Source organism: Homo sapiens, chromosome 20 (assembly GCF_000001405.40).
Source record: "Homo sapiens chromosome 20, GRCh38.p14 Primary Assembly".
Classification (NCBI taxonomy): Eukaryota; Metazoa; Chordata; class Mammalia; order Primates; family Hominidae; genus Homo; species Homo sapiens.
In genome coordinates, this window is record NC_000020.11 from 46,739,437 (window position 1) to 46,750,393 (window position 10,957).

At 44.3% G+C, this 10,957-nt stretch overlaps 1 long non-coding RNA gene across 1 annotated transcript; it reads left to right on the plus strand.

Annotated features, from left to right (window-relative positions):
- Window positions 1-625: 625 nt before the first annotated feature.
- Window positions 626-2,839, plus strand: LOC124904918 (uncharacterized). The gene is made up of 2 exons (XR_007067616.1): window positions 626-771; window positions 1,212-2,839. It is a non-coding gene; the product is annotated as an uncharacterized LOC124904918 (long non-coding RNA).
- The last annotated feature ends 8,118 nt before the right edge of the window (window positions 2,840-10,957 follow it).

The window sequence follows — 10,957 nt, forward strand, 5'->3', positions numbered from 1 at the left end:
ATGTCAGACCCTCCTAGAAAGAAGCATTGACCTTCAGCATGGAACTAGTTTAGAGTAGAGTGAAGTCCCTGCAGCCAATGTCCTTCCAGGAAGAAGTAAATAACATCCTCATGGGTTACCCTTCACCGGTCTGGCCTCTCCCAGTTCCTGGACTGTGAAATCCTAGAAGCCTATGTTTCATTTTACTTCATACACCCTGATGAGCTCAGCCTCAAACACCACTCTTTCAAGGCTGTATTTCAAACATCCTATTTCCTGGTCACCGCATCCTTACATTTCTGCTAATACCTTAATACTGTCTCATAACCACAATTCTCTGATCTCATGAAGACCTCTGACCTCTAAATGCTAACCCCTGACCTCACCCCTTTCCCAGAATCTATGAACCTCTTCCTGCCTTCACTTTCCTTCTTGTCCATCCAAGATCCCATAGCCCAACCTTATAATCCATCCTTTGCAAACACCCCCTTGTGCACTTGGTAATGCTAATCTCAGATCAATTTACACACCCATCTTCTCTGCTTGCACGTGGGCTGTGAATGTTGCAGGAGAGAAGTCACACAACCTGACAAACAGGTTTCACTTAAAGTCCATGAGCTCAAACCTCAGACTCACCCTCCAAACCCTCTCATGGCACACATTCCTGCTCCACAATTCAGCGATTTGATATGGTCTCCTTGACTGAAACTGTCCTGTCTCTTTCATCTCCCTCACTCTCAGCTGCTAACCCTGCCTCATACTTCATTGAATGAACAGAAGTTCTCAGGAGAGGTATGTTCCCTGATATCTTCATCTCTTTTAGGCATAGTAACAGAGCCTCTGATGTTTCGCTGGGAACATGGCTGCCCAGACCAAACACCGCATTTCCCAGGCTCCTTTGCAGCCAGGTGGGGCCATGTGACCAAGTTCAGTCTGATGTGAGGGAACACAAGTGATGTGCTCCAGGCAAGCCCTATGGCAGAGAAGACTAGCTGTCCTTGGAAATTTATTCTCCCTTGTTTCTTTTTAATAATAGAAATCCCTTTGTTTTAGCTGGATACATGGCCATCTAGCTAAAGATGACTTTTCCCAGCGTCCCTTGCAGCAAGAGGGCCATGTGACTAAGTTCTGGCCAATGGGATGTGAGCAGTAGCAATGTGGCATCTTCTGGGTCATTTCCTTAAAGGGAAGATGTTTGCATGAAATCAACATGCATTTTCCCCTTTCTGCAGGCCAGGGTGGGTATATGGTGGTCAGCTTTCACCATGAAGACAAAGACAAGGGGACGGTGGAACAAGATGGAAGGTGGCTGGATCCATGGATACCTTCATGAACTAATGTATCTAGTGGCCCTGTTTCAACACCTTCTACTGGACTGTTATATGAAAGAGGAATCAACTACCTTATTCCAGCCAACTTATGTTAGGGTCCCTTTTGTTACAGCGCCTTAGCCTGAGACTTTACTAATGCATAGCCTCAGATGGAATGGAAGTGTCCTTTCCTTTTTCCATCTTCTGTTCTTGTTGACTGAAATAGAGGTGTGTTAGGAAATCATCTGGGGTCATGCAGACAAGGACAACATCCTAGGGATGGCAGGGCATCAAGCTATAAGAAGCCTGGATCCCTGCTGACATCACAGAGCAGGGCTGCCACATTAGCCGGGACTATTACGTGAAAGAGAAATACCTTCTATCTCGTTTAAGCCACTGCTATTTTATGTGTCTGTTACTTGCAACCAAACAGCCTGACCAATACAGGGGGCCACTATCAAAATTACAGACCTGTCCATTTTCTCTGCTCTATCCTGCATCCTTCTACCGTGGGACCATCCTCTTACCTGGACTGCTGGGGAGATACCATCCTCACATTACACCTTGGTGAGCTTCTCTGTCTCCTGAATCACCAACCTCACTTTCCGTTGGACCATTCCAAGTCCCTTGTTAATTTCCTCCATGATACTTATTTTGCCTTCTAATTATTTTGATTGTCTGTGTACTAGAATTCAAATTAAAATTCTTCCACCTCTCCTTTCCATCCTTTTTCTCCATCCAATCCTCCTTTCCAAAAATAGTTTGATTGGGAATGAGGATTTGAGCCAGTAATTCTCATTTATTTGCTCCAACAAATTCAACCTCTACCTGCTCTGTGTCAGCAGGTTGACTTGTTTGGGCTCCATCAATGGGCTGCCCCATGCTCAGCTTCTGGTTGGGTTAGGAGTCCTGGCATTTGGTAGCAGGGAGGGGGAAGAATGAGTAGAGACGGGTTTTCATCAGGCTCACGCCTGTAATCCCAGCACTTTGGGAGCCGAGGCAGGCAGATCACTTGAGGTCAGGAGTTCGAGACTAGCCTGGCCAACATGATGAAAACCTGTCTCTATTAAAAATATAAAAATTAGCCGGGTATAGTGGCACACACCTGTAATCCCAGCTACTCAGGAGGCTGAGGCAGGAGAATCACTTGCACCCAGGAGGTGGAGATTGGAGTGAGCCAAGATCATGCCACTGCACTGCAGCCTGGACGACAGAGCGAGACTCCATCACAAATCAATCAATCAATCAATCAAGTGAACATGCCTAAAGAAAAGATTAAATTACCTTTTTATTGTCACTGTAGAAAAGAATCTTATGAAACTGTTATGAGAGAATCTGCAGCCAAAAATGGAGTAAAACAGGTGTAATAGAGGTGGGTCAGGCCGGTGATGATGATGGTGATGATGGTGATGATGGTGATGATGAGGATGAGGATGATTTATCACTTATTTTGATTTTCAGGTGCTTGTGGCATTTGCCACCTTTTTAACATTTCCAACTTACCATGATTCCTTTTATCACTTTAAATAAATATTCATGTCCATACTTAATTTTATATGTGTAGTTTGTTTTTTCTTAAAAGAAGTCCTTAACATTAAATCAGCCTGGATGAGCCCCTTGCTGGCCAGAGAGGTGCTAGGACAGAGGATGGGAGGTCAGCTGCAAACTGAGTGTCCTCCTGTCCCTGGAGGCTCAGCCTGAGTTCTCCCCCTTGTCCTCTCTTCCTCCCTCCACTGGCCACTTCAGGATCCAGCTGGAAGAGCCAAATCTTGGCGCTCAGAAGGGGTTAGTCACAGGGCAGGCTTTGTTGAAAGCACCTGTGGCCTCCTACCTTGGGCAGGAGATTTCCTCCAAAACCGCATCAGGGGGAAATGTCAGGGCACCTGAATCGATTTTTCTGCGTAGGAGTGATTTTTATTTTTTCCTACATCTCAATCGCTTCTAGGATTCAGGATCAACTAGGATTAACTGGAAAGCCCTGAATATGTGTTTGTAATGGCACCTTCTCAATTATCTGCCCTCTTTAGGAGTGGAATGTAGGGAATGCCAGAAGCATTCGAAATACATGTCTAGGTTCATTAATTTATATGGTTAAAAGGCATGGGTGAAGAAAAAAAAGACCATCAAGGCTGTTTGGACCACACACTCATCCAATACTTGACTCCCTGCATTACTTAGAAAACTTTTCGACAGAAACGGAAACCAAGCAGACTTAAGTTACCCGGGAACCCATTTGTTCTGGACTAAAAACGTCATAGTTAGTCCTGGTTTCAGACAGGCTCAGCTTGATCCAGGACTAGGATGATGATATTTCCTTTTGCCTCTGTTCTCAGTCTTTTCCTATCACAAAATCTCTCTTCTTCCAGCAGCAACTCTGGCTATGCCCTTCCAGGTTCACATAGAGGAGGAGAGAGGGTTTCCTTCTCCCCCAAGCCCCACCACATAGTTCTAGCATCCCACTGGCTCTCTGTGGGTTAAATGTGCCTCTCCAGACCCACTCATGGGGAGCAGGGCGCTGGGAGATGCAGACGGGCTTAACTCGAGCTGCTGGAGGTGGGGCTTGTGTTGGCTTCCTAGGCCTGCATTCACATAGCAACACACACTGGGTGGCTTAACACAACCGAAGTTTATTCTCACACTGTTCTGGACCTGAGAAATCTGAAATCAAGGTGTCAGCAGCTCCCTCTGAAGACTCCAGGGAAGAATCCTTCCTCGCCTCATCCAGTTTCTAGTGGTTGCCTGCAGTTCTTGGTATTCCCTGGCTGGCAGCTGCCTCAGTCCAAATCTCTGCCTCCACCCTCATGTGGCCTTCCTCCCGCCGTGTGTCTCCTCTGTGTCTCTGTGTTACATTTCCCTCTTCTTATAAAGACCCAAGTCATTGGATGGAGGGCCCACCCGAATCCAGTGTGACTTGATTACATCTGCCAAAATCTTATTTCCAAATAAAGTCACATTCACAGGGGCCAGGTAGACATGAAGTTTATGACACTGTTCAACCCAGTACAGGGGCCAATCACCCCAGACCCTATGGCTGAGTGGGGAAGAAGTGGACACCATAAGGCAAGTTGGCAAGAGAAGAGGAAAGAGATGCTGGAAATCACTCTGCACATTTCCCGTGGCCACACTGCATCCTGTGTCCAGCTCCGCTTGCACACCCCCCCAGATGGGGGAGTCACTAGTCACTACCGAGCCAGACAGGCTGTCACTCCGGCTGGTGCCCTGCAGTGTGGCCCTGCCCTCGTGTTCACCAGGGGTTTTATTTGTGGTCTTGGTCATGACCTGATCGAGGATCATGGGGTTCTCGGGCACAAAACTGAACTGCGAGAGGAGCTACAGGAGGGAGGGATGGGGGTGCAGACGGAGCGCGTAGAGAGGGGGTGGCCTGGCCAAGAGGAAGGGTTCAGAAGGTGCAGTCAGGAGACCTGGGTTTGATTCTGCTGCAGCTACTTAGCTAGTTTTGTGAACTCTGGCAGGGGATTTAACCTCTCTGAGCCTCAGTTTCCTTAACTGTAAGATGTGGGCAGCAGCAGCCCCCACCCCAAAGGGCTGCCGGGCAGATTCACTGAGATACTGGGTAGGAAAGCTCTTTCCCAGCTGCGAAGGGCAATGCAACCACAGGGCGGGGATCCACCAACACCTTTCCCCCAGAAGCAGGGCTTCCTACCCCACCCAGGGCTGTCCCTAGCTCCCGCTGTCCCAGGGCCAGACTCAGTTTCCATATTTGTTCATTTTACTTTCCAGTGTAAATATTTTTTCCATCTGTGGCAGAGGAGGAGGAGGATGGCATTTTGACGTGAGACACAACATTTTCAGACACCCTCTGAAAGCATTTCCAGACCCTCACATGCTGGGTCTCATCCAAGGATAGAAAATGATTTATCGTGGATGCTTTGGCACGTGCTTTTGGAGTTTTTCCTCCTAATGAAATGTTTAACTGGAAAAGCTGACATTCTGCTTTTAATTGATTCTCATGAGATGAGAAACATTCCCAGGTAGGTTATATTAGGTTGAAAGTCTCCTATTCTAAATGAAATTAAATAACAAATAAAATTCAGTTCTTAAAAATGATTCTGTTTAACATTTTGAAGGGTGGCACACCAAAACATTATTGCCCATTTCCACATTATAGTAAACTCTAATTTATTTAGTTTTGCTTTGTATTAAAATTGTATTAAAATCAAAACGTTTGTTGACCCAATTTAGGTCTTCCAAGATTATCTAGTTAACATACTCTCTTAATAGTCACATGAATTCTCTTTTGTTGAAATATTTGCATTTTTAGCAACTGTTTTTGCATATTAAATCACGGCTTTCATAGTGTGTGTGTGTGTGTGTTTCCACTGAATTTGGTGCACAATGAAGTTGCTAAATTCTTCCAGATTTGGGACTGATGCCATCCTGCCTCTCCTGGTTTGACAGGTTGGGTTGTTGGTTACCGAGATATGATCCCCAAAGCTTCCTCTTCAGCAAAATAAATATTACATGGATCCTTAAGCTGATCAATAGAATTTCAATATCTAAAGCAATAAAGAGATTAAAAAAATAAAACCTCCAAGTTACCTCTTGACGGTGAATAACATGCTTTGTTTGTTTTTTGATTAGATTGATAGAAGCCCACATGACTATAGAATCTCTGATGTCACATAGTGTTAGGCGCGCCAGAAGTAACTATAAAGTGAGTATTTCTCTTTTTGACTTTTCAAAAGCCAAAGCTAGACCTAATGCCAAACAGTGATTATTGTCTGGATACTATTGTTATAGGACCAACAGATTCGTATACCCACTGTGCAGTAACAGACCCATTACACCGAAACAGCAGAGATGAAGCAGGGAAAGAGTTTAATGATCACAGAGACATCTAGAGCCCAGGTCCTAGAATGAAAAACCTGGAATAGATCTGAACCCTACCAGTAGCCTGAACCAGGGCTGCTCCAGCCAACTCACATCTCAGAAAGCGAGAAAGAAACACTAATTAAGAGCCTGGGAGGCCAGGTGCAGTGGCTCATGCCTGTAATCTCAGTTTGGGAGGCCGAGGTGGACAGATCACTTGGGGCCAGGAGTTCAAGACCAGCCTGGACAACAAGATGAAACACCATCTTAACTAAAAATACAAAAATTAGTGGGGTGTGATGGCACACGCCTGTAGTCCCATGTACTTGGAAGGCTGAGGCATGAGAATCTCTTGAACCTGGGAGGCGGAGGTTACAGTGAGTCCAGATCACGCCACTGCACTCTAGCCTGAGCAACAGAGTAAGACTCTGTCTCAAAAAAAAAGAAAAAAAAGAGCCTGGGGTTGTTTGTCATGCAGCAGATGCTGACTAATACAGAATCCAACAAGGTAGAGAGTGTTTTTACCTGGTCCATTGAGTATAGCCTTGTCATGCCTGAAAGCCCCAAATTTTAAAAAATAATAATAGTAATCCAGTTTTTATATTCAAAAATGAAAAATATTGAAAAACATAAAGAAAGATAACATCACCTATGACCTACCACACAGACATAATTGTTAACAATATTTTTGTATATACCCGTGTAATCTCTTTTCTCTGATGACAGATCAAGTTACCTACATAGGAAGATAGTGAAAAGGCAATCCTATCCTTCCAATTGTTCAGATCAAAAACTTTGGAGGGCCAGACACAGTGGCTCACACCTGTAATCTCAGCACTTTGAGAAGCCAAGGTGGGAGGATTGCCTAAGGCCAGAAGTTTGAGACCAGCCTGGAGAACATAGTGAGACTCTGTCTCTATCAAAAAAAAAAAAAATTAGCCAGGCATGATTAATTAGATCACAGGTGCACACCTGTGATCCTAGCTACTTGGAAGGCTGAGGCAGGATTGCTTGAGCCCAGGAGTCTGAGGCAGGATTGCTTGAGCCCAGGAGTCTGAGGCAGCAGCGAGCTGTGATTGTACCACTGCATTGCAGCCTGGATGACAGAGAGAGACCCTGTCTTTAAAAAATAAGCAAAACTATAAACCAACAAAAACAAACCTCGCAGTCACCCCTAACTCCTCTTTTGCACTCCCACATCCAATCTGTTAGCAAATCCTGCAGGCTCTGCAGAATTTGACCTTTCTCATCATCTCCTCCATCACCATCATCACCATCACTCCCTAGATTGAGGATGCCACTACTTTCTAACAGGTCTCGTTACTTTGCTCCTTGCCCCCTATCTATCTTCCATGCAGCAGCCATAAGGGGCTTTTAAAACCCAAGTCAGTTCATGTGACTCTTCTGAGATGGTCTCCCCACGGCTCCCCCTCTTACTCAGAGGGTTCCTTATCAGAAACTCTCAGGCCCCCAAAGAACAGCCCAGCCTTTTCCTCCAATCTCATCTTTTCCCATTATCCTCCTTGCTCAGTTAGCCTATCTTTTCCCAGTCCCTCCAACACACCAGCCACGCCCTGCCTGGCGTCCTTAGCTCTTTCTGTGTCGTTGGTTAGGAATGTGCCCACGCCTCATACTTGTATGGCTCACTCTCTTCCATCAAGAGTTATTCAAGAGTTATCTGCTCTGGAAGGCTTTTCCTGGCTACCCCAGCTAAAATGTCACACTCACATGAGCTCATACACATGCACACACTTAATATGTACACACACACCCCTGCAAATGCATGCATGCACACACACATACTGCACATTTCTTTCTTGCTTTATTGCTTCTCCTTGACCCTTTACCACCATCTAACATATGATACAGCTATGTTGCTTGTTCATTTAATATCTATATCCCTTGCTACAATATTCCTTCCCCAAGGGCAGGACGTTTTGCCTGTTTTGTTTACTGCTGTACTCCCGGTGTCTAGAAAAGTGCTTGGCACATAAGTAGACAATTAATATTTGTTGAATAAATGAATGAATGAGTGAATGTAAAGTGCCTGGAACGCTGCAAACATACAATAATAATAAAGCATAATCATTAGCACCAAACAGGTAAAAGAAGGATTTTCTTCCTTTTTCATTGTAGATGCTGTAAAAAGTTGATAGAATTGAAAAATGGAGTTTAAATATATTACATAAAGTCATTAAGGCCACTGGTAGGAGAATTAGTAATAATCTAACTAATAAAAGCAAGGAGCTGAAAGGAATAAGGGGCAGTGGAGGGAATGTATATGAACAAAATTCCTCATCTCATCCCTGGAAATTGATCATTAATACAACACTCTACATCTATTTCTTAAAGCAGAGGCCTCAATTCTTTGGATGCTGGCCCTCAGGTGTTTTTATTTGTTCCAGACATTACTTTTAAAACTTTTTAGTTAGTTGCCAACCTTTGAAATTCGGAATATTTCGCAGATAACTTGGTATTTCTGGCTTCTCTTGAAAATGATCTGGTTATGATTGTACCACTGCATTCCAGCCTGGGTGACAGGGCCTGCATTCTGCAATAGAGCCACCAGATGGCACAGAGTCACAGCCACTCCCTTTCCATGCCGCTTGAACTCTCCTGTTTGCTACACATTACCAGGGCTTTTCACTCCTGATATAAATGTTTCATAGAAACAGTCTCTGGGCCGGGCGTGGTGGCTCACGCCTGTAATCCTAACACTTTGGGAGGCCAAGGCGGGTGGATCACCTGAGGTCAGGAGTTCGAGACCAGCCTGGCCAAAGTGGTGAAACCCCGTCTCTACTAAAAACACAAAAATTAGCAGGGTGTGGTGGTGGGCGCCTGTAATCTCAGCTACTCGCGAGGCTGAGGTAGGAGAATCCCTTGAACTCGGGAGGTGGAGGTTGAAGTGAGCCAAGATCGCGCCATTGCACTCCAGCCTAGGTGATAGAGTGAGACTCTGTCTCAAAAAAAAAAAAAGAAAAAGAAAAAAAAGAAAAAGAAAGAAAAAAAGGAAAAGAAAACAGCCTGAAAAATAGAAAGCAAGATTTCTGACAGTGGCAATCTCAAGGCAGTTGGAAGAACAGGAAAGACTAGCTCCCCACTTAGAACATTCTATACTGTCTATGTGTTTCTGTGAATTCTCATTCATGTCTTGCTTCTATAATGAAAGGGCTATGACAGTGAAAGAAAAAAATAAAAATAATTTTTAGTACTTTAGAAAATACTGAAAACTATAAAGATTAAAAATAAAAACTGCCCATGTCCTACCAGTTACTAACAACATTTTGGTATATATTCATTCACCTACTCTTTTGTCTATGACAATAAATCAAGCTAGTTAGAAACGAGGACAGGTATTGGGATATATAGACATTCTCACATCATTGAGACCACACAGTATACGACACGCTGTGGCATTTACTTTTTGAGATTATCAAGCATTTCACATGAGGCTGAGTTCACAAATATATTGTCTTTGCCAAAGTTACAAACAGTATCCACGATTTCCCCCAGGGTCTGGCTTTTTGGGTCTGGCTTTTTCTTTACTTCTGAACATGTAGAAAAATGAATTATGTGCCTACCAAGACAACATTGCAGTTTTCCTGGCAAAGGCTAATTCTGCCGATGGAAACAGTGTTTTCATTTTCTTTCTTTCTTTCTCCCCACCATTCTATGCTTTTCTGGTTTCTCTGTGTGCGTATTTTCCCCCTGGATTTGACATTATAAAGTTGCTAAGTTCTTCCAGATTTAAGGTGCTATGCCATCTTAAATCTCTGGATTTGACAGGCTGGGCCAGTGGTTACTGAGATATGATCCAAGAAGCTTTCTCTGGGGCCATCTGTCAATCAGATGTCAGCTCATAAGGAGGAAGAACTTGGCTGCTGGCCTGCACTTGGATGCCAGAGTTGGTTGCCTTTTGCTTGAATTGTGTCTGCACAGTGCTAGGCGCCCAGTAAATTCTCATTGTATCCCTGATGGGTGAAACCTCATCAGGTAGCTCTTGAATGGAGATATAAAATGTTTGCCTCATGTCAACTCTTCTTGATCTTTTTGACCCATGTCTTCCGATCTGAACAGCATTTAAAACTTTCTCCCATTGTAGCACCTATGGCCATACTAACTTGTCTGATCCTATTGTGGGTGAATTTTTGAAGACAATTATAAACCAGCCCACATGTCAGTACCTGAGATTTCTAGCCTTCCAGTGTCATCCATTCTAAAACCCGATTTGAAGATGCAATGTAGGAAACCAAGAACTACCACCACCACACCCTGTCATCGCTGTACCTTTGAGGTCATTTACTCAGCTTTCATGTCTGGTATGTTGAAAGAGTGGAAGTTGGGAGTTAGAGGGGTGCAAGTAGCAACTTGATTTTCCCTCTCACTGCCCATTCAAACACAACTGGTGGGATAGTTCTTTACTTTCCCCGAATGATCCATTGGGCCGATCCTTTAGCCCTTCTCCTCACCCTTAGATCATGACCAATAACAATATGGTGATGATTATAAAAATAAAATGTCTCCAAGTCACTTCTGAGTGTAGCAACAGTCTAAATGAAGTCATTAGAATGTCGAGTCATGTCAAAACTCCAAACTTCATTCATATTAAACCTCTTTCCTCCTCCACTCTCATTTCTTCTCCTCCCCAGCCCCCTTGGGCTCTGAAGAGGTGAGGAGCAGGGATGTTTTACTTGGCTGGTGTTGTGATGATGTGATCTTGTGCTTTCTGGACTTAGAGGGCCAATTCCTTCTTTCCTTAGCTTGTGTGTCCCAGGGGAGGGATGGCGGTTCTTGGCAATTCTCCCACTGGCAACCTCCAAATTTGCTTCCTGGGAGGC